Source organism: Homo sapiens, chromosome 12, assembly GCF_000001405.40.
Source record: "Homo sapiens chromosome 12, GRCh38.p14 Primary Assembly".
Taxonomy (NCBI): domain Eukaryota; kingdom Metazoa; phylum Chordata; class Mammalia; order Primates; family Hominidae; genus Homo; species Homo sapiens.
In genome coordinates this window covers 117,746,972-117,771,794 of record NC_000012.12, presented here as the reverse complement: position 1 = coordinate 117,771,794, position 24,823 = coordinate 117,746,972, and the positions used below count along the sequence as shown (strand labels likewise).

The 24,823-nt window shown below is 43.4% G+C and overlaps 1 protein-coding gene across 7 annotated transcripts in view; it reads left to right on the top strand.

Annotated features, from left to right (window-relative positions):
* The window catches only part of KSR2 (kinase suppressor of ras 2), a 515,979-nt gene that overhangs the window by 197,196 nt on the left and 293,960 nt on the right, over window positions 1-24,823 (top strand). For all 7 annotated transcript variants that reach the window (XM_011538224.4, NM_173598.6, XM_011538225.4 and 4 more), the window contains exon 4: window positions 10,271-10,784. In XM_011538224.4, coding sequence (XP_011536526.1) covers window positions 10,271-10,784 — 514 coding nt within the window. The remainder of the gene's footprint in view (window positions 1-10,270; window positions 10,785-24,823) is intronic.

Genomic DNA, 24,823 nt, shown 5'->3' with positions numbered 1-24,823 from the left:
CTGCAGGATGCCATGTGATTAAGGGGAAAGTGAGGGTGTAGGTTACTACCAACTATAAGACTTTAGCCATGACCTGTCACTTATCCATTACTTGTTGATAACATTACAGTTTCTTCATCAGTAGGATGGGGATAACAGCAGAACTTTACCCTTGAATTATTCTGAAGATTAAATGAAACGATGCAATTAGAGCATTTAGCCCCATCCCAAGCACAGTAAGCACACAGCCAATGTTGTGAACCCTGAAAATCTGAGACAGACCTCATTAATTTAGAAAGTTTATTTTGCCGAGGCTGAAGATGCACGCCCATGACACAGCCTCAGGAGGTCCTGATGACATGTGTCCAAGGTGGTCAGAGCACAGTCTGCTTTTATACATTTTAGGGAGACATGAAACATCAATCAGATTATGTAAGATGTACATTGGTTCCATTCAGAAAGGCGGGACAACTCAAGCAGGGAGGGGGCTTCCAGGTCACAGGTAGGCGAGAGACAAACGATTGCATTCTTTTGAGTTTCTGATTAGCCTTTCCAAGGGAGGCAATTAGATATGCATTTATCTCAGTGAACAGAGAGATGACTTTGAGTAGAATGGGAGGCAGGTTTGTCCTAAGCAGTTCCCAGCTTGACTTTTCCCTTTAGCTTAGTGACTTTGGGTCTTCCAAGATTTATTTTCCTTTCACAATGTTGTATAAATGTTCATGTATAAAGGGAGTAAAAGCATCTATTTCACAGGATGCCACGGAGGATTGAATACATGCATAAAGTGCTTTATAGCATTACTTGTTGATAACTGTCTTTTTTTTTTTTTTTTTTTTGAGACGGAGTCTCGCTCTGTCGCCCAGGCTGGAGTGCAGTGGTGCGATCTTGGCCCACTGCAAGCTCCGCCTCCCGGGTTCACACCATTCTCCTGCCTCAGCCTCCCGAGTAGCTGGGACTATAGGCGCCCGCCACCATGCATGGCTAATTTCTTTTTTTTTTTTGTATTTTTGGTAGAGACAGGGTTTCACCGTGTTAGCCAGGATGGTCTCGATCTCCTGACCTCGTGATCTGCCTGCCTCGGCCTCTCAAATGCTGGGATTACAGGCGTGAGTCACCGCGCCCGACCGATAACTGTCAATAACATCTACTTTACAGGGCAGGTGAGATCAGCACCAGTTTCCTAACACAGAATCTGGTGGCTGCACTCCACAGGCAGGCTTTTATGTGGCAGTCCCCCAGTCAGTGTCCAGCAAATGAATGAGTTATCTAGGGCTTTTGTAAAAAAAATCTACCGCAAACTAGATGGCTTAAACCAGCAGAAACATACTTTCCCACAGTTCTAGGGGCTTGAAAGTCTGAAATCGGGTGTTGGCAGGGCCACAGTGCCTCCAAAGGCTCTGGGAGAGAATCGGTTCCTTGCCTGTCCCACGGCTTCAGCGGGTGGCTGGCCATCCTTGGTGCTCCTTGGTTTGCAGCTGCATCACTCCAGCCCCTGCCTCTGTCTTCACATGACGTTCTCCTCTGTGTCTTCTCCTCGTCTTATAAGGACACAAACCATTGGACTTAGGATGCATCCTGATCCAGTATTAACTCATCTTAACTTGATTGTATCTGCAAAGATCCTATATGCAAATAAGGTACTGGAGGCTGCAGTTCAACCCAAAATAAAGGCTTCTGATAACCCTGAGCTTTCTTTCTGTCAGAGTTAGCACCTGCCAAGACCAGGAATAAGGACTGGATGATTCTTTTTTTTTTTTTGAGATGGAGTTTCACTCTTGTCATCCAGGCTGGAGTGCAATGACACAATCTTAGCTCACTGCAACCTCACCTTCCCAGGTTAAAGTGATTCTCCTGCCTCAGCCTCCTGAGTAGCTGGGATTACAGGCATGTGCCACCATACCTGGCTAATTTTTGTATTTTTAGTAGAGATGGAGTTTCACCATGTTGGCCAGTCTGGTCTTGAACTCCTGACCTCAGGTGATCCACCCGCCTCGGCCTCCCAAAGTGCTAGGATTACAGGTGTGAGCCACCGCACCTGGCAGGACTGGATGATTCTTGAGTGTGAGCTCTGTGTCAGGCTCAAAATGAAAAGCACTGTATGCATTTATTTAATCCTCAGTGGCGTTCTGTGAAACAGATGGTTTTACACTCTTTGTACATGAACATTTATACAACATTGACTGTGTGCTAGGGAATGAAGCTAAATGCTCTGTTTGCATGGTTTTATTTAATCTTCAGAGCAATCATGGGGGAAAGCTCTGCTGTTGTCCCCATTCTACAGATGAAGAAACGGAGTCACAGTGAGGAATTTTAGGGACAAATTCATGTCTAAGTGTTGGCGTTGACTTAGGAGAATTAACTCTTGTTCTTTCAGTTCAGAAAGCAAGTCTTCCATATGCAGAGGTATCTTCCTTTCTGGGGGAGTTAGTCAGTGAGTGACAGGCTCATGATCCCCCCTCTTCCAGACCTGCATTACCAGCATGTAATTCAGGGTCATGGGATGTTTACTCTGGAGATTCAGAGATCAGATGGGAGAGGAACAGTAGGTGAACGTGATGAAATAATCATGTCTTTGTAGAAAAAAAAAACCCACTAAGATGAGATTTTAGAATTTTGTGCTCAATCTTTTCAGGCTAGAAAAATAACTTCTTCCTGGGGAGTGATCCCGGGGTTTCTGGGAGAAGGGGAAGTTAAGGTTCAGCTGCATTCCAGAATCTGCTCTTGGGTGTCCTGCAGGAAATTCAGACTCAGCCTGTCTGACCCTGAGCTTGCCACCTCATCTGTGCCCAATTTCCTTCTGCATTTCCTATTGCTGTGATCAGTGCCACCGGCCACTGTGTGACCCAGGCTAGCAACTGGGACATCAGCCTGGACTTAATGTCCTGGTTATGGGTCAGGTGAAGACCCAAACCCCACATGTCCTTCTTGGACAAGGCTCTGTGGCCTCGAGCAAGCCACTTGACCTCTCTGTGCCTCAGTTTCCTCATCTGTAAGACAGAGTAAATTCCACCCACTTTGTTGGATTGTTCCGTGGGTCTATAACTTTTTATGTGTAAATTCAATAAATGTTGGCTATTTTTCCTTTTTTCTCTTCTAATATACAGTCACTCCACCTCTCTCTATCTCCACTGCCATAACTATCCCAGGTCCCCGTCATCTCCCATCCAGATGCTTCCAGGAGCCTCAGGCTGGGCTCCTGCTGCTGCCGGGCCCTGTCCAATCCTTTCTCCACACCATGGTCAGAGACATGTTTCCATGATGCTCAGCTTCCCTACACACAGGAGCCCTGTTGAGCCGCAAGGACGGATGCCCACACAGCCTGTGCACCAGGGTTTCTGGGACAGCTTTAATCACACATGGACAGGAGTGGCAGGTATATAGTCCCCACACTCACCATTGTCCTTTGCACCCTGGTCTGGCACACTGGGCTCCAGAAGGACTCCATGGATCCCATCCATTGGGCTGTGTGGCTTTTAAGCCATATGATCAAAGAAGCACCAGCCCCTCCCCTGGTATGATCAGGAGCTGGCATTCAGCAGCAATGTTGTGGGCAGATGCTTGGCCTCCAGCTCCAGTCCACTTGTCTGCATTTGTCCATGGGGAGAGCCAGCCCTTCCTCGGCATGAGCAGGAGTTTGGGGTCCAAGCCTCAAGGATACAGCAATATCGGCCCCTACAGAAAGTTAGCTTCCTTCCCATTATCATTTATGATTAGGGGAGTTTCAGCTCCTCTCCTGGCATGACCACGGGACTAGGGTCTAAACCTTGAAGCAGCTGTGTGGTGTGGTGGACCAGAGCTTCCACCACACTCCTCACCAAGTTTGATTGCCACAAGCCCTCAGCTGCAGCAGGTCTCCAGGAGCTCTGGAGGAGACCACCTCCCTCTCTGGGAGGCCAGTGGCAAGGGGATCAGTCACACCGGCCCTTAGTTCTCAGCGTCCCCTTCCGCTTAGAAGAGCAAAACCCTGGGAAGTCCTCCCTTCACTTCTTCTCCAGCCTGGCTCGAATTTTTTTTTTTTTTTTTTTTTTGAGACGGAGTCTTGCTCTGTCTCCCAGGCTGGAGTGCAATGGTGCGATCTCGGCTCACTGCAAGCTCCGCCTCCCGGGTTCACGCCGTTCTCCTGCCTCAGCCTCCCGAGTAGCTGGGACTACACGCGTGGGTCACCACAGCTGGCTAATTTTAGTATTTTTAGTAGAGACAGGGATTCGCCATGTTGAACTTCTGGCCTGAAGTGATCTGCCCACCTTGGCCTTCCGAAGTGCTGGGATTACATTGTGAACCACTGTGCCCAGCCTCTTTAACTAGACTTCACAATCATCTTCCCCAGAGCCTCATTTCCTTTTTGTGTACCTGTTTGTCTCTTTTTTTTCCTTTTGAGACAGGAGTCTCGCTCTGTCGCCCAGGCTGGAGTGCAGTGGAGCGATCTCGGCTCACTGCAACCTCCGCCTCCCGGGTTCACGCCATTCTCCTGCCTCAGCCTCCAGCTCATCCTCCCGAGTAGCTGGGACTACACGCGCCCGCCACCACGCCCGGCTATTTTTTTTTTTTTTTTTTTGGATTTTTAGTAGAGACGGGGTTTCACTGTGTTAGCCAGGATGGTCTCGATCTCCTGACCTCGTGATCCGCCCATCTCGGCCTCCCAAAGTACTGGGATTACAGGCGTGAGCCACCGCGCCTGGCCTAATTTTTTCCTCTCTCAAAATAACTCTAGCTTGGCTGGGCGCAGTGGCTCATGCCTGTAATTCCAGCACTTTGGGAGGTTGAGGCTGGTGGATCACGAGGCCACTGTAGTCCCAACTACTCGAGAGGCTGAGGCAGGAGAATCGCTTGAACTCCAGGAGGTGGAGGTTGCAGTGAGCCGAGATTGTGCCACTGCACTCCAACTTGGGCGACAGAGCAAGACTCTGTCTCACCACCCCGCCCCCGCCCCATCCCGAAAAATAGCTCTAGCCATACTGAACGACTGGCAGTTCTCCAAACTCCCACGTCCCTCATCTCCTGGCCTTTGACCCTGCTGTTCTCTCTCTTACCATCCTTCTGCTGTCACCCACCTCACTGCCACCTTTCCTGGGAACTCTTGTTCACCTTCAAGTTCTGGGCTTAGGTGCCACCTCCTCCAGGCTGCCTTCTCCTACCCACCCCCACCTCCTGGCCAGTGGGGTTCCACTCTTCTGTGCCCTGTATGCTCCTGCACTTTTTCTAGCTTAGGATTCTGTGTTTGGTATTGTGAGTACTTACTGATTCATTTTATGTAGGGAAAATTCACATAACATAAAATTAATCATTTCGAAGTAAACCAGGATGTGACATTTAGTTCATTCACAAGATTGTGCAACCACCACCTCTATTTAGTTCCAAACCTATTTCATCACCCCCTCAAAAACCCATTCCTATTAACAGTCACTCCCCATTCCCTGCCAGCCCCAGCTCCTGGCAACCACGAATCTGCTCTCTTTCTCTATAGATTTGCCTCTTTGGGATTTTTCATATAAATGGAATCATATGATATATGACCCTTTGTGTCTGACTTCTTTTACTTAGCATAGTGTTTTTCAAGGTGGATCCACATGAATCAGTACTTCTTCCCTTTTTATGGGTGAATAATATTCCATTATATGGACGTACCACATTTTGTTTATCCATTCCTTAGTTGATGGACACTTGGGTTGTTTCCACCTTTTGGCAATTGTGAATAGTGCTGCTATGAGTATTTGTCTACAAGTATTTCAGTCCTTGCTTTCAATTATTTGGGGTCTGTACCTAGGATGGAACTGCAGTGAGAGTTTTTTGATTATTGATCATTTTCACTAGACTGGGATCATCTTGAGGGCAGGGGCTGGCATAGTGAATGCCTGGGCACAAAGGGGATGAGTCACAAGGCACCCAGAATAGATGTTTTCACCCATCTTCAATCATCTGCCATTTGTTGGCATTGACATAATGGCTCAGGCTCTGTCTGATGGTTTGATTGCTTTATCTTATTAATTCAGTCCTCACTTCACTCTGATATCTGCTCAAATGCCCACTGTCACCTCCTCATCCTTTTGCGATTAAAATAGCCCCCAACACTTGTTTTGTCTCTGTGCCCTGCTTTCTTTCCCTCTAGAAGACTTACTATCACTACATATATGATAAATTTGTTCATCTACTTGTTTCATTTGTTTCCCTACTAAGAATGTGAGCTCTGCAAAAATAGGTTTTTTTTGAGTGTGTGTGTTTTATTTCTTGTTCTATTCTGGTGTCCACAACAGTGCCTGGTACGTAAAGGGTGTTCAAATATTTGTAAAATAAATACATTTAATTCTCACTGCACCCTCCAACAAAGCCATAATTATTCCCATTTTATGAGCCCCCAAACTGAAGCTCAGGGAGGTTAAGTAATTTGCCCAAGGTCACAGAGCTGGTCAGTGGTTTAACCAGAATTCTATTGGGTTCTTCTGGTTCCCAATCCCATATTCTTTCCATTTCATTCAGGATGGACAACAGCTTGTCATGATAATGCCAAAAGCACTACTTTGTGGCTTCATGGTGCAGTATTTGATTAAGACAGCTTAGAAAATAGATTGACTTTCTTAAACAGGCTTTACTTAGGCTAACTTGACAACGAGCTTGTATTCCCTCAGCAAATACATCAATCCAGAGCTTACCATGCGATGGAGAAACTTGTCTTAACTTGATTCTCTGTTCTGTTCTGGCTCTTAGACCTATTTAGCTTCAGCTAAATGTCACTTCCTCACTGTACAAAGGGTGAGAATAGTAAAGCTGTCAGAACCACTACACACTCTTTAAATAGCAGATATTGATGTATTACCACAGTGTTGAGAATTACAATGCCAGTAGCTAGCATTTATGGTGTACCTATTGTGTGCTGGGAGCTGTGCTAAGCACATTGCTTGTATTTGTGCATCTGATCCTCATAGTAGTCCCTGAGTTTTATTAGGTTTTATTATTGTTTATTAGTCCCTGAGTTTTATTAGGTTTTCTTATTGTCCCATTGCACAGGTGACAAAGCTAAGACTTAGAGAGGTTAGATGAGTGCCCAAGGTCACACAGCCATAAGTGGTGGGGAGTCAGATTTGGAGCCCAAGTCATCCGACTCCAGCGTTGACTCTCTTACTCACTGGGCTAATGTGTATGTGTCAATATTTGAGAGTAGATACTGTAATGATGGTGACTTTGGTAGAGTGTTCTTCTGGCAAGCCTGGGAGGAGGCTCATTTTGAGAAATGAGCCTTTGTTTCAGTATCTTTTCCCGTTTGAATGATCTATGATGGCAAATGGAGGCCCCAGTTCTCTTTCACAGACAGCCTCATGCCCTGCTTGTTGAGGTGGCCGAAGTTTTGGGTTTGAATCTGGCTGCCAGTTACCATCTCTCTTGTGACCTTAAGCAGATCTTCATCTCTTTGCATCAGTTTCCTTACCTACAAAATGGAAATCAAAATGACCCTTTGCACACAGAGTTACAAAAATTAAGTTAGATGTAAACAGTCCCAATATAACAAGTGAAGAAAACAGACAATGAACCATTAAATATGGTCTTATGGAATTTTTTTTTCCTTAAAAAAAAAAAATCCGCCCCAAACCATCTGGAAGGCTCGACCATCAGCTATTGATAGGGATGATGGCTAGGCTGTAGAACAGCATTGCCTTTTTTTCTTATCTCAATTTTCTAATTTTTCTGTACTGAATATATAATAACAAAATGAGTTGTTTTAATTAAAAATGGGACAGTGAGTCAGTGTTCATGAAAGCACTTTGGAAACCATCAAATGTGCTATAAATTAGCTCTTGTTACAGTCGTTATAGTAATTATTATTGTTATTGCTAGTCAGCTAGGAATTTCTTTGCGCCCCAAATCTCCTTCCTTGGCCCATCATGGAAGTGGCCACGTGGTTACCTTCCTCTGGGTTCTGGTGGGTCTTCCTTCATTGACACCTGGCCGACTTCTCTCCATCTTTGCTGCCACCACCCAAACCAGAGCCAGCATCATCTCTTGCAACTCCCTGAGATACCCCTTAATTGGGCTCTAGTTTTCCCCGCAGCAGCCTGAGTGATCTTTGAGAAATGAACATTCAATCCATGCCTCCCCTGCCTCAAAACTCCCAATGGCTTCCTGTTGGACTTGGTATAAAAGCCAATCTGCACCTTAGCCCACAGACCTGGCAGTCTGTTTTCACCTGTCCCTTCAGCCTCTCCTTGAGTGTCACCCCATTGTCATCACACAGTTGTGAACACCACCTTCATGCAGGCACCCGGGAAAGAGACCTAGGAAAGTGACTGCCCTAACTTAGATGGTTTTGAAGCCTGCACATTTGGTGTTGTTGGATCTTTATGCATTTAGAGCTCTTAGCATGGAGGATGCAGAAAGGCTTTACGTGGTTGCATGAGAATCTGTGTCTTTAGACCAAATTTGTATTTGCACTGTCAATATGGCAAATGAATGAAAAATGTTAATACACCATTAGATTTTTAGATTTTTTTTTTTTAATAGCAAAGACTTGGAACCAACCCAAATGTCCAACAATGATAGACTGGATTAAGAAAATGTGGCACATATACACCATGGAATACTATGCAGCCATAAAAAATGATGAGTTCATGTCCTTTGTAGGGACATGGATGAAATTGGAAATCATCATTCTCAGTAAACTATCGCAAGGACAAAAAACCAAACACCGCATGTTCTCACTCATAGGTGGGAATTGAACAATGAGAACACATGGACACAGGAAGGGGAACATCACACTCTGGGGACTGTTGTGGGGTCGGGGGAGAGGGGAGGGATAGCATTAGGAGATATACCTAATGTTAAATGACGAGTTAATGAGTGCAGCACACCAACATGGCACATGTATGCATATGTAACTAACCTGCACATTGTGCACATGTACCCTAAAACTTAAAGTATAATAATAATAAAATAAAAAAAAGGTTTTTTTTTTTTTGAGACTGAGTTTCACTCTTGTTGCCCAGGCTGGAGTGCAATGGTGCGATCTCAGCTCACTGCAACCTCTGCCTCCTGGGTTCAAGCGATTCTTATTGCCTCAGCCTTCTGAGTAGCTGGGATTACAGGCACACGCCACCACACCTAGCTAATTTTTTTGTATTTTTAGTAGAGATGGAGTTTCACCATGTTGGCCAGGCTGGTCTCAAACTCGTGACCTCAAGTAATCTGCCCATCTCGGCCTCCCAATTGCTGGAACTACAGGTGTGAGCCTCCGTGCCCAGCTGCCCATATTCTTTTTATCACGTCATTCTGTTTATTTCCCTCCCAGCACCAATAACCATGTGAAATCCTTCTGTGAGCATGTTTTCTTGTCTATCATGGCTGCTTTGGCAGAATGTAAGTCCAGGGGACCAGGGTCTCATCTGTGTTGCTTTTGTGTCTTTTCCAAGCAAAGGGCATAGTTGGCACTCACAGGATGTTTACTGGACAAATGCATGAATAAGAACATGGCGACACAGATCTGGAGGAAGTATGCGGTGGCTGAGGAAGTGGTCAGGGAGGGACTAAGGATGAACTTGACTTCCTTGGAATTTGTGTATCTCACATGAGGGTTAGGTATTAAAATTTCCATGTAAGGGAAAAGTTATCCTTTAAAGTCCTTTAAATCACTTTGAAACTACCAGAACTGGGACCTTGGGAAGTTCAAAAAGTGAGAATTAACTTCTTTGCTTTTCTGAGCATTTGGGCTGTGGGGTCTTCCCAGCTATGGGGCAGTGGAAGGCAAGGCTGTTGAATGGAGAATAGGGTAACAGGGTCAACAAGGGGATTTTATTGTCTTTTTGGAGGAGCCAAGTAGAGATGGTTGGCTTTATGTAAATGTACTTATGATGTAATGTGGGTATGATGTAACATGCATTTGATAGAATGTCTGTAAGAGGTAATGGGCATATGAAATAGCATGCATATGATGTAATGCACATATAATGTGACATGCATATGGTGTAATGTGCATATGATATGTGCATATAACATGCATACAACATAACAGATATATAGTGTAACATGCATATGATATGATGTGCATATGATATAACATGCATACGATGTAACAGGTATATAGTGTAACATGCATATGATGTAATGGGCACATGGTATAATGTGCATAAGATATAATTTGCATATGAGATAACATGCATACGATGTAACAGGTATATAGTGTAACATGCACATGATGTAATGGGCACGTGGTGTAATGTGTGTATGATGTAATGGTGTGTATGGTGTAACTCACCTGGCTTTCTCATGGCTTACCCATTGTCTCTGCTCTTCTGTTCCAACTCAGGAGGCAACCTTTCCAAACAAGACTGGACCATCCAGTGGCCCACGACAGAGACGGGGAAGGAGAACAATCCCGTGTGCCCCCCGGAGCCCACCCCGTGGATCCGCACCCATCTCTCCCAGAGCCCCAGGGTCCCGTCCAAGTGCGTCCAGCACTATTGTCACACCAGCCCCACTCCCGGGGCCCCTGTGTACACCCACGTGGACAGGCTTACCGTGGACGCCTACCCGGGCTTGTGCCCGCCCCCGCCACTGGAGTCGGGCCACCGTTCCCTGCCCCCATCGCCCCGGCAGCGGCACGCGGTCCGCACCCCGCCGCGCACCCCCAACATCGTCACCACCGTGACCCCGCCGGGCACGCCGCCCATGAGGAAGAAGAACAAGCTGAAGCCCCCGGGGACCCCACCGCCCTCCTCCCGAAAACTGATACACTTGATCCCGGGATTCACCGCGCTGCATCGGAGCAAATCCCACGAGTTCCAGCTGGGGCACCGCGTGGACGAGGCCCACACGCCCAAGTGAGTGCGATCGGTGGGTGCCCTGGGGCGGTCGAAACCCGGCCTGCGAGGGGCTGCCCCTTGGTCCCAGGAACTGCCCAGGTCAAGGAAACCGGGAACAGACTTGCGTTCCAGACTCTGGTTGAATGAAAAATGGCTTTTCACAGAGGGTTCTGAGCAAATGAATAGAACAGAATTTCCCAGAATTGGCCGTTTAAAAAATACGATTAATATCCTATGGCCTAGGGGCTAAATCTGATACCCGGCCTGATTTTGTAAATAAAAGGTATTGGAACACGCCCATGATCATTCCTTTATGTGTTGCCTATGGCTGCTTTTGTGTGACAATGGCAGAGTGAGAATAGCCCACAAAGCTGAAAGTATTTACCATCTGGCTTTTTACTGAAAACGTTTGCCAACCCCTGCAGAGTCTAGCCTAGTGCCGCTCCTAGAAATAGGATATGAGGCATATATTAACCTTCAACTTTCTAGTAGTCACATTAAAAAGAATGAAAAGGAACAAGTGATATTAATGATCATAATACATCATTCAACCCAATATATCAAAATTATAATATCTTAACAAAGAATCAATGTAAAATATCATTACAGAGATATTTTGCATTTTTTAAAATACAAAGTCTTTGAAATTGAATGTGTATTTTATATCCACGGCTCATCTCAGTTGAAGGTGGTAGGAAGCAGGACACGTTGGGGAAATTGACAGAGGACCCCTTTGGGGGAGAGAGCAGGTGTGTGATGTAGGGTGAGACTCGAGGATTAGGCAGGTTGCTGTGCTATTCACAGTAGCCAAAAAGTAGAAACAACCTGTGTCCATCAGTAGACAAATGAGTAAACACAGTGTGGTCTATCTATACAATGCAATATTATTCAGGCTTAAAAAGGAAGAAACTTCTTTTTTTTTGAGACGGAGTCTAGCTCTGTTGCCCAGGCTGGAGCAGTGGTGGGATGTCAGCTCACTGCAACCTCTGCCTCCCAGGTTCAAGTGATTCTCCTGCCTCAGCCTCCCAAGTAGCTGGGACTACAGGCCTGTGCCACCACGCCTGGCTAATTTTTTGTAGTTTTTGTAGAGATAGGGTTTCACCATGTTGACCAGACTGGTCTTGAACTTCTGACCTCAAATGATCTGCCCGCCTTGGCCTCCCAAAGTGCTGGGATTACAGGCATGAGCCATCATGCCCGACCTGGGAGGAACTTCTGATATATGCTACAACATGAGTGAACCTTGAAGACAGCATGCTAAGAGTAAAATATGCCAGACACATAATGACAAATACTGTATAATTCCACCAATATGAGATACCTAGAGTAGACAATTTATAGAGGCAGAAAGTAGAACGGTGGATGCCAGGGCTGAGGGGAGGGAGAATGGGGAGTTGTTATTTATTGGATATAGACTTTGCATTTGGGATGATGAAAACATTCTGGAGATGGATGGTGGTGATGGTTGTACAACAATGCAAATGTAATTAGTACCATTGAACTGTACACTTCAAAATGGTTAAGATGGTAAATTTTATATTATGTATATTTTATCACCATTTTAAAAAGGCAGGATTCTGTAAGTGAAGGGTTGGCACACTTTTTCTGTACAGGGGCAGATAGTAAATACTTTAGGCTTTGCAGACCATTCAGTCTCTGTTGCAGTTACTCAACTCTATCATGTAGCACAAAACCAGCACAGACAATAGGTAAACAAATGGGCATGGCAGTGTTCCAATAAAACTTTATTTATAAAAACAGGTACCTGGCCCAATTTGGCCCATGAACTGTGATTTACCAAGCCCTGTCTGAAGCCGTAGTGTAGAGAGTGATCTCTTTTCTGAAGCATTGGGAATGCCCTACAGTGATTGACGTGGAACATGTGATTTTACAACAGTCATATTTAAGCTGCTATGTGAAACCTAGCTTGAAGACGTAGAATGCATGTTTGAGACCTCTGAGGGTGAAGCAGAGGATAGATGCTTTTCTGATTGGAGTTGTGTTTGATTTGCATGGTTTTGTGAGAGCCACAGAGATTGGGGCCTGCTGAAACCTCAAGGTGAAGATGTGGGGTAAAGTTCCAGGAAGGCTGGGAGTGCAGGTTGCTAAGGTGGAGGGTGGAAGAGGCATTTGGGGTTTGGTTGCTACGGTGGCCCCACACTTTGTGCTTCTCCCTGTCCCTTTCCCAGGGTGCACCACTTAGTAAGGCGAAACTTGATCAGAAAGCCGACTCTCCAGACACATCATCTTCTAATCTGCAAGATGGAGGCCAAGTGAGAGAGGCTGCCCTTTGGTTTTTAAATGCTGTCCTTTCCCTAGACCCCTGAAGGATTTATTCTGCCTGGATAGGGTTGAATGGCCCACTTCTTCAAGGCCTTCCAAATTGACTTGGCCACCTTTAGTGTTTTTTGGAATTTGTGTATCAGGACTCAGGTGGCGTTAAGCTTTGCCCTTCAGGTTTCTTCTGGCTGAGTTAGCAAGCTCATCACTTCCTCAAGGCTGGTAGTTCCCTGGCCCACCTTGGGGGATGCTGTGGTTCATGGCAAGGAAGCAGTAGAGGAGAGGAACAGAGTGGTCAGTTTGGTGATGTGGAAAATGCCGTGGGACCACTTAGCCTGGGACCATGCCTCCAGGTTCACAGGGATATCAGGGCAGCAGGCCTGGGGGTGTTAAAAAAACTAAAACATAAATAACAGCAACCTGAATAATGTTGGCAGCGGGGGTCATGGGTAGAGGTGAATTCTGATCAGGATTTATAAAGGAGGCGTTAGTTGAGGTGAGTCCCAATTATTAGACTGATAACAACAGTCATCATTTACCTGGGTCTAAACTAGTCCTGATCCTGCCAGGAAGTAGCCTTTTGACCTTGGATTTAACCTCTCTGAATCTTAGCTTTCTCAGCTGTGGACCCAAGAGGTTAGAATACATTTGTGTTTTTAAATTTGTGGTCATGACCCATTTGTGGTTGATAGCATTATTTTAATGGCTTGTGACCAGCATTAAAAAAATGAAATAGACTAGCCTAGACTAGAGTATATTGGAACACATTGCATCTGGTAAGCGTTTTAGTGTTGTTTTGTAAAACTTGTTTTCAGTAAGTACAGGCATACTTCAGAGATATTGTGAGTTTGGTTCCAGACCACCACGATAAAGATCCCAAAGTGAATGACACGAATTTTGGGTTTCCCAGTACATAGAATAGTTATGTTTTATACCATACTGTAGTCTATTAAGTGTATGATGGCATTATGTCTTAAAAAACAATGTACATACATTAATTTAGAAATACTTTAATACTAAAAAACACTAATGATCATCTGAGCCTTCAGTGAGCCATACTCTTTGCTGGTGGAAGGTCTTGCTTCAATGTTGATGGCTGCCGACTGATCAAGGTGATGGTAGCTGAAAGTTGGGCTGATTGTGACAATTTCTTAAAATACAACAATGCAGTTTTCTACATAGATAGACTCTTCCTTTCACAAAAAATTCTCTGTAGCATGTGATGCCGTTTGATAGCCTAGTAGAACTTCTTTCAAAATTAGAGTCGATCCTCTCAAACCCTGCCACTGCTTTGTCAACTAAGTTTATGCAATATTCTAAAATGTTTCTTGTCATTTCAACAATGTTCAAGGCATCTTTACCTGGAGTGGATTCCATCTCAAGAAACCACTTTCCTTGCTCATCCGTAAGAAGCAACTCCTTGTCTATTTAAGTTTTATCATGAGATTGCAACAATTCAGTTATATCTTCAGGCTCCACTTTTAATTCTAGTTCTCTTGCTGTTTCCACCGCATCTGCAGTTACTTCCTCCATTGAAATCTTGAATGCCTCAAAGTCATCCATGAGGGTTGGAATCAACTTCTTCCAAACTCCTGTTAATGTTGATATTTTGACCTCCTTCCATGGATCACGAATGTTCTTAATGGCATCCAAAATGGGGAATCCTTTCCAGAAGATTCTTTTTTTTTTTTTTTGAGATGGAGTCTCACTCTGTCACCCAGGCTAGAGTGCAATGGAGCAATCTCGGCTCACTGCAACCTCCACCTCCTGGGTTCTAGCAATTCTCCTGCCTCAGCCTCCTGAGTAGCTGGGATTACAGGTGCCCACCATCATGCCTGGCTAATTTTTGTATTTTTAGGAGAGATGGAGTTTCATCATGTTGGCCAAACTGGTCTTAAATTCCTGACCTCAGGTGATCCACCCACCTCAGCCTCCCAAAGTGTTGGGATTACAGGCGTGAGCCACTGCACCCGGCCTCCAGCAGGTTTTTATTTTACTTTTCCCAGATCCATCAGAGGAATCACTATCTATGGCAGCTATAGCCTTATAAAATGTATTTCTTAAATAATAAGACTTGAAAGATAAAATTACTCCTTAATCCATGGGCTGCAGAATGGATGTATTAGCAGGGATGAAAATCACATAATCTGTTTGTACATCTTCATCAGAGGTTTTGGTTGAGCACATGCATTGTCGATGAGCAATAATATTTTGAAAGGAATCTTGTTTTTTCTAAACAGTCGGTCTCAACAGTGGGCTTAAAATATTCAGCAAACCATGCTGTGAACAAAAGTGCTATCATCCAGGCTTTGCTGTTCCATTTATAAAGTACGGGCAGAGTAGATTTAGCGTAATTCGTAAGAGCCCTAGAATTTTTGGCATGATAAATGAGCATTGGCTTCAGCTTAAAAGTCACCAGCTGCGGTAGTCCCTAACAAGAGAGTCAGCCTGTTCTTTGAAGCTTTGAAGCCAGGCACTGACTTCGTCTCTCTAGCTCTGAGAGTCCTAGATGGCATCGTTGAATATAAGACTGTTTCATTTACATTGAAAATCTGTCATTTAGTGTAACCACTTTCATCAGTGATCATAGCTAGATCTAGGTAACTTGCTGCAGCTTCTCCATCAGCACTTCCTGCTTCACTGTACTTTTATGTTATGGAGACAACTTCTTTCCACAAACCTTATAAGCCAACCTCTACTGGTGTCCACATTTTCTTCTGCAGCTTCCTCACCTCTCTCAGCCTTCATAGAATTGAAGAGAGTTAGGGCCCTGCTCTGGATTAGGCTTTGACTTAAGGGAATGTTGTGTCTGGCTTGATCTTCCATCCAGACCACTAAAACTTTCTCCGTATCAGCAATAAGGCTGTTTTATTTTCCTATCATTCATGTGCTCACGGGAATAGCACTTTTAGTTTCCTTAAGAAAAAGAACTTTTCCTTTGCCTTCACAACTTGACCATTTGGCATAAGAAGCCTAGCTTTCAGTTCATTTTGGCTTTTGACGTATCTTCCTCACTAAGCGTAATCATTTTTAGCATATGATTTAAAGTGATAGATGTACAATTCTTCCTTTCACTGGAACGCTTAGAGGCTATTGTTGGGTTATTAATCAGGCTAATTTCAATATTGTTGTGTTTCAGAAAATAGGGAGGCCCAGGAAAAGGAGAGACAGATGGGGAATAGCCTGTTAGTGGAGCAGTCAGAACACATACAACATTGATCGATTTATTTCACTGTCATATGGGCACGGTTTGTGGCACCCCAAAACAATTACCATAGTGACATGAAAGATCACTGATCACAGATAACCATAACAGATATAATAATAATGAAAAAGTTAGAAATATTGCTAGAATGACCAAAATGTGACACAGAGGCATGAAGTGAGCTTGTGCTGTTGGAAACGTGGCAGCGAGAGGCTTGCTCAATGCACGGTTGCCACAAACCTTCAATTTGTAAAAAAATGTGATGTCTGCAAAGTGCAGTGGAGTGAAGTGCAATACAACAAGATATGCCTGTGTGTCCTTTTCTTTTTACCCCGCTGGAGGCTCTTCCTACTCTGAACAGCTTTGATTCTAGAATAAACCCCATCAGGGAGTAGGTGAGAAGGTTTGAGAAGCCTTTGCCCTCTCTTCTGTGAAATGTAGCCAGAGATAGTTCCAGAGCTATTTGGTGCATTCTGGTTCCAGTTATCTCTCTTTCATGTCTGGTTTCTTCTCTCCTTCACCCCTGTAGTCCTGCTGGGAACCATCTCTGTGGCTAACTAGTGTTCAGTCTGCTTTTATTTCCTCTGAATGGAATGAATCTGAGTTTCAACAGTCACAGATCTTTGTGAACAGGTTCCAAAGCTTTCAAAACTGTTGGTTGCTGTGATTTTTCAAGCACACAATACCAAAGGAGGTCTTGGGTTGGAGGAAGGCTAGGAAGGCTATTTTTATTTTTATTTTTTGAGATGGAGTCTTGCTCTGTTGCCTAGGCTGGAGTGCAATGGCGCAATCTCAGCTCACTGCAACCTCTGCCTCCCAAGTTCAAGTGATTCTCCTGCCTCAGCCTCCCAAGTAGCTGGGATTACAGGCACCTGCCACCACCCCAAGCTAATTTTTTTTTTTTTTGAGATGGAGCCTCACTCTGTTGTCCAGGCTGGAGTGCAGTGGCACAATCTCAGCCCACTGCAACCTCTGCCTCCTGGGTACAAGCGATTCTCCTGCCTCAGCCTCCTGAGCAGCTGGGATTACAGGTGCATGCCATGCCGCCTGGCTAATTTTTGTATTTTTAGTAGAGACGGGATTTCACCATGTTGATCAGGCTGGTCTTGAACTCCCGACCTCAGGTGATCTTCCCGCCTCAGCCTCCCAAAGTGCTGGGATTACAGGTGTGAGCCACCATGCCTGGCCGAGGAAGGCTATTTTTTAGGCCCCTTATCCTTGGTGCTCTCAGGCACACCCGTGGTGGTTTTTATCAGATGATCTGTTTGGGTTTTCCTCCTGTCCCCAGTAGTATCTCACGTGCCTTTTCAGAATGAGCATGACAAGAAAACAAGAATATACTGGCCATAGCATGTCTGTCATCTCCACTGGGAGATTTGCTGTCTAGGTGTGTTGGAATGTGTTAGAACTGCTATGATTAGTCTAATCAAAGCTGTTTCCCCTGTTTTGTGTTCATTCTCAAAGAACTGTTTATTTTCTTCTTTTCCTTTCTTTTTATTTTTGCATTTAAGTATATGGTTTTATTCCTCTGGCATTCCTAAAACACACACACACACACACACACACACACACACACACACACACACACACACACACGCTCTATACTTTCCCCAGTAAAAGTAATGATTGATTATTGTGGAAGTTGAAACAACTTTGGAAATGTGATGAAGACAGTGGGAAATATGTGCTGATGTTCTTGTTTTCCTTCTTCTTTTTTTTTTTTTTTAACTTTCATTTTAAGGTCACGGGTACAAGTGCAGGTTTGTTACATAGGTAAACTTGTGTCATGGGAGTTTGTTGTACAGATTATTTCATCACCCAGGTGCCTAGTAGCCATAAGTTATTTTTCCTGATCCTCTCCCTCCTCCCACCGTCTACCCTCCGGAAGGCCCCAGTGTGTGTTGTTCCCCTCTATGTGTCCATGTGTTCTCATCATTTAGGTCCCACTTAAAAGTGAGAACATGCGGTATTTGGTTTTCTGTTCCTGTGTTAGTTTGCCAAGGATAATGGCTTCCAGCTCCATCCCTGTTCCTGCAAAGGACATGATCTTGTTCTATTTTATGGCTGTGTAGTATTCCATAGTGTATATATACCACATATACTTATATACATAGATATACATAGAGCATGAATTCTCAATGGGGCTGAAATCACCTCTGAGGGGACAAAGATTGGTTATTGGGGAAAGACAGGAAAAATCTTGGATTTTTACAATAGTTTATGCCTCTCCTTCACAAGGAGCCACCGTATGTAAACAGAGATACACCATATCTGCGCTTATGAAAATTTCACTGGAGGTTAGGGATGGAGATTAGGAACCACAAAATCTAAAAACGTTCCCAAAGGAGCCATAATAGAAAACGGGTTGAGAAACACTGACATAGATTATGGATTTAATCCTATAAATGCAGTTAGCCATAGGCATGGAGAGTTATCAAGAATCCCTCTGACATTCTTATCAGCCTTTGTTTTCCCTCTGGCTTTGTGGCCATACTTAGAAAGGTAAACAGGCACTGATTCCTTATAGTGAGCTGTTCAGAAAATTAAGAGGGAATGATCTCAGGGATTCTGGTTATCTTGATCTTCATCCCAAGGATCCCACACCCACAGCCACGTTGTTGGGGGAAGAAAGATCCTAACAACTCTATGTGTGCAATGATTTGTATGTCTTCAGATTTTCTCATTTAGGTCTGCCCACAATACAAATGGCTTGTTCCTTCTTTTCAGAAGATCTGAAAGGGTAAACTGCATTTCTGTAAACTGAATTATATTTTAAATGTGCAGGAGAAGCTCAGTATTAAAAAGGAATCCTATCACATATATATTTTTTCAAATCCTTGTTAAAGGTGATTTTTCAATTATAATTGCAATTACAGAAGTAATTTGCAGATATATCTTTATTTTGAAAATACAAGCAAAATAAAATGTAAGCAATAGATGATAAAATTCTCCATTTCCCTTGTCACAGAGAACTACTATAACTGCTATTAATACTTTGATATAAATCCTTGTGTGCATTTATTCATGTTTGTAGGCATATATGAAATATATCTAGTTCCCTTTCTTCATTATTGGAACCACACTATATGCTTTTATTAATGTGACTTGCCTTTATTAGTCCTGCACAAATACAAATATTCCATTTATGACCTTTTCACAATTTACTTCTTTGGAAATTCTTCTGTTTTCCCCAAAGCACATCTAGAACATTCCTTGGTACATGTCGCTGTGTTCAGACGTGTGTAGTTTGTGAGTGAACACATTTCACCTCCACCCTTATGGAACAGTATGTCAAAAACTTCAGCTGGCCTGTGAGCAGAGAGAACCAGGCTGGATAAGAGCCGTGTTTATTATACCTTCACTCAAACCCCATTCTCTCTGTTCCAACTAATTCATATTTCGTGCTTGGCCTAGGCTATATCATTTGTTGTTTGCATGGAAACAGGCTTTGCCTAACAGATTCATTATGTAAATAAGATTTCAGGAGGTATATTTTTGTCTGTTTTAGAAAACTAGGTATAAGCACTTAAACTCACTAGCACACACCTACAAATCATTGTGCTAATTATTACAAGGATCTCTAATATATTTATAAGGGCAAGAGAGGAATGACTAGTCTGTGGGTAATAGTATATTCATTAAAATAGGAAGACTTCTGCCATACTCATTTGGTAATTCCTTTTAGGCTAACTAAGCATTCAGACACGCTCAGCACCATACTGACTTAAGAGGATGCAGGCAGCATTGGGCATCTCTTCTGTGGATCCTCAGGGGCCATTCTTTTTTGCCCCCTACCTCCAAGTGGCAGTTTGGTACAAAGTGATGAGACCCACATTAAGCAGGTGTGGCAACTATCCTGTCTTATGGGACAATAGCTGTTGTAAAAACTCTATCTTCATGGCTGCCAGGGTGTCTGCAGGGGACATGCCCTGTTACAACAGTCATGCTACTTAAGGACTCCCAAAGCTGTAGATTCCTCATTAGATATTTCAGATCCATTCCGTGAGCTCCCAGTCCAGATGCAGTCTACCAACAAGGGGCAATTTGATGAGCACTGTGGCCCACTAGCACAGTGATGTTTCCTCTTTATCAGGTGTTCAGCAGATCAGAGCTAGAAAGTTAACCCAGGGTTAAATTCTCATGCAGAAGAGGAAAAGATTGTGTTAATCCTTGATATACAGTGTATTAGTCCGTTCTCACGCTGCTAATGAAGACATACCCGAGACTGGGTAATTTATAAAGGAAAGAGGTTTAATGGACTCACAGTTTAGCATGGCTGGGGAAGCCTCAGGAAACTTACAATCATGGCAGAGGGGGAAGCAAACATCCTTCTTCACATGGCGGCAGCAAGGAGAAGTGCAGAGCAAAGGTGGGGAAAAGCCCTTTATAAAACCATCTGCTCTCAAGAGAACTCACTCACTATCATGAAAACAGGATGGGGGAGACCACCCCCATGATTCATTTATCTGCACCTGGTCCATCCCACGACATGTGAGGATTATGAGAACTATAATTCAAGATGAGATTTGAGTGGGGACACTGCCAAACTGTATCACACAGCTTCACATGTACTCTTATGTTCATTGCAGCACTATTCACAATACCAAAGACATGAAATCAATCTAGGTCCCCATCCATGGTGGATCGGATAAAGAAAATGTGGTACATATATGCCATGGAATACTATACAGCCATAAAAAGAACAAAATTATGTCCCTTGTGGCAACATGGATGCAGCTGGCGGCCATTATCCTAAGCAAACTAACACAGGAACATAAAACCAAATACCACATGTTCTCACTTATAAGTGGGAGCTACACATTTGTGTACACATGCACATAAAGATAGCAACAGTAGACACTGGGGATAACTAGATAGGGGAGAGAAGGGAGAGGGACAAAGGCTGAAAACCAAACAACTGGGTACCATGCTCATTAACTGAATGTTGGGTCTATCATACCCCGAACCTTAGCATCACTCAATATACCCATGTGACAAACCTGCACGTGTACCTCCTGAACCTAAAATGAAAGTTGAAATTATAAAAAATTGAAATTAAAATTAAAAAATAAAAATCTTATAATGTAGATTTGTCACCAATTCATGTTGAATGTCTTATTTTGAATTGAGATCTTTTGCAAGGTATTTTATAATTTATATTAATAGCATTATATGTATATATTCTATAACATAAAATAATTATTTCTAGTAAAATGTATGCTCCTGAGAAATTTTCATTAAGTATTATTATTACTCTGCATAAGAAAGTTCTTCTTTTTTTTTTTTTTTTTTTTAAGACAGAGTCTCACTCTGTCACCCAGGCTGGAGTGCAGTGGTGCGATCTTGGCTCACTGCAATCTCTGCCTCCCGGGTTCAAGCGATTCTCCTGCCTCAGTTTCCTGAATAGCTGAGATTACAGGTGCATGCCACCATGTCTGGCTAATTTTTTTGTATTTTTAGTAGAGACGGGGTTTCACCATGTTGGCCAGGCTGGTCTCGAACTCCTGACCTCGGGTGGTCCACCTGCCTCAGCCTCCCAGAGTGCTAGGATTACAGGCGTCAGCCATTGCGCCCAGCCAGAAAGTTCTATTTGATCCCCCAGATTCCCATTCAGCATTGACCTAGTACCCCCATCCTGGATTCTAGGCCCTCTTCCTTAGCTCTGGAGCAAGAATAGGTCCTTATCCTCTTAAAGACCCTGCCCCAGCCTCCATTAAGACCATGCCACAATCCCCTAGCTGCTGAATCTTTCAGGCCTGTGATGAGAGATTCAGTCCAGTAAGGCTCATTTAAAATATGTTTAGCTTTCTAAATATCAAATGGACTATCTTTTGGTGTTTGCCCCAGAGGCTTATACAGACAGCACTAATGAATCATCTATTGTCACATTCTTATTGAAACAGCAGCTTTGAAGTTCCACAATGGAAAATTAGCTCAAGAATGTGCTTCTTGATGAATTTTTGTGGTGAAGTGTTCTGTGGGTTGGGTAACAGAGTATTTAGTTTGCAGTCCCTTATTATTTACAGGAACAAACTGATGATATTATGACGGTGAGATTTTTTTCCTATGGTATATCGAGTTCTTTGACTTACCTAGTGCCTGCCTTCCTCTCGTTATTTCTTTTCAAGGAGTTGAGAGTTTCCTAGGAGGTGTTTTAGAAGGAGCCCAAGGTGAATCCCACCTTGGCTACTAATTAGCCTTGTGACTGCAAATAAGTCACTTAGGAATTGATGCTCCAGCAGTGTGGAGACTGTGGCTGCCCACTTCTCAGAGCTGGTAAGGTCCCCTTATACTCCCTAGCTGTACTTAGGATGTCACCTGCAGCTGTGGCAGGCAGTTTCTGTACACACCGAGGGCTTCCCATGTCAAGCACCTGTGTCTCGGCCTGGGAGGTATTGTTCGTTTGCTTTTTTTTTTTTTTTTGCCAGTGGAGCATGTTCAATCTGAGTGCAGGGCCGGCTGGAAATGTCAGGGGCTTGGTGTTGTCCTTGGGAACAACCTTCAGTTGCTGAAGGACAAGAGCTAGTGCATAAATATGCCCTCAGAGGGCCCATTCTGCTGTGCGTTCTATACCCCTCCTGAAGGCTTCCCAGAGGGACAGCCCCAGTTGTCCCCAGAGGCATTCCCCGTAACACCCTTTATGGGCTATGTTTTCTCCCCTGCCTCACCTCTCCATCTCCTCATCCTGCTGCTAGGATCACCTCTCAAATATACTACAAGGACCCCAAACCTTGCTTTAGGGTCTGCTTTTGGGGGAACCTAAATTAAGACAGGGATAAAGGTCATCATAAGTATAATTGCATTAAGCTCTTGCACAGCTATGTGGACACATTTTCACTAACACAAAAGTTTTCTTGATTAATTTGTTATTAGAATATACATGATAGCTGTCACTTATGGAAGGCTTATTGTATGCTGATACTTTGCATCATTTATTGGTATTTTTACTATTTTTATTTTAATTGACAAATAATAACTGTACATATTTATGGAGTACAGTGTAATGTTTCTATATATGTATACATTGTGGAATTATTTAAGTCAGGCTAATTAACATATCTATCATCTTACATACTTATTATTTTTTTGTGATGAGAGTATTTCAAATTTACTCTCAGTGGTTTTGAAATATGTGGTATATTATTATTAACTAAAGTCACCATGCTGTGCAATAGATCTGAAAAACTTATTCCTCCTATCTAACTGAAACTTTGTACCCTTTAACCAATATCTCCCCATTCCACTGCCTCCTTCCTGCCAGCTCCTGGTAACCACCATTCTATTCTCTACTTTTACGAGTTTGACTTTTCAAAGTGAGATTATGCAGTATTTGTCTTTCTGAACCTGGTTTGTTTCACTTAGCATGGTATCCTCCAGGTTCACTCATGGTGTCACAGATAACAGGGTTTCCTGTTTTTTAAGACTAAATAGTACTCCATTGTGCATATATATACCACATTTTCTTTATCCATTCATCCGCTGATGGACTCTTAGGTTGATTCAATGTCTCAGCTATTGTGAATAATGCTGCAATAAATATGGTAGTGCAGATATCTCTTTGACATACTGATTTCAATTGCTTTGGATACATATGTAGTAGTGGGATTTCTGAATCTTATGGTAGTTCTATTTTTAGTATTTTGTGGAACCTCCACACTGTTTTCCATAATGGCTGTACTAATTTACATTCCCACCAACAGTGTACAAGGGTTCCTTTTCCCCACATCCTCTCTATGACTTGGTAATTTTGTCTTTTTGATAAAAGCCATTCTTGACAGGTATGAAGTGAGATCTCATTGTGGTTTTAATTTGCAATTCCTCGATGATTAATGATGTTGAGTATTTTTTCATAAATCGATTGGTCATTTGCATGTTTTCTTTTGAGAAATGTCTATTCAGGTTCTTTGCCCATTTTTAATTAATTAATTATTTTATTTTATTTTATTTTATTTTAAGTTCCGGGATACATGTGCAGAATGTGTAGGTTTGTCACACAGGTATACATGTGCCATGGTGGTTTGCTGCACCTATCAACCTGGCATCTAGGTTTTAAGCCCCACATGCATTACGTATTTGTCCTAATGCTCTCCCTCCCCCTGTCCCCCACCCCCCAACAGGCCCCGGTGTGTGTTGTTCCCCACCCTGTGTCCATGTGTTCTCATTGTTCAACTCCCACGTATGAGTGAGAACATGTGGTGGTTTGGTTTTCTGTTCCTGTGTTAGTTTGCTGAGAATGATGGCTTCCAGCTTCATCCATGTCCCTGCAAAGGACATGATCTCATTCTTCTTTATGGCTGCATAGTATTCCATGGTGCATATGTGCCACATTTTCTATATCCAGTCTATCATTGATGGGCATTTGGGTTGGTTCCAGGTCTTTGCTATTGTGAAAAGTGCTGCAGTAAACATACGTGTGCATGTGTCTTTATAGTAGAATGATGTATAATCCTTTGGGTATATACCCAGTAATGAGATTGCTGGGTCAAATGGTATTTCTGGTTCTAGATCCTTGAGGAATCGCCATACTGTCTTTCACAATGGTTGAACTAATTTACACTCCCACCAACAGTGT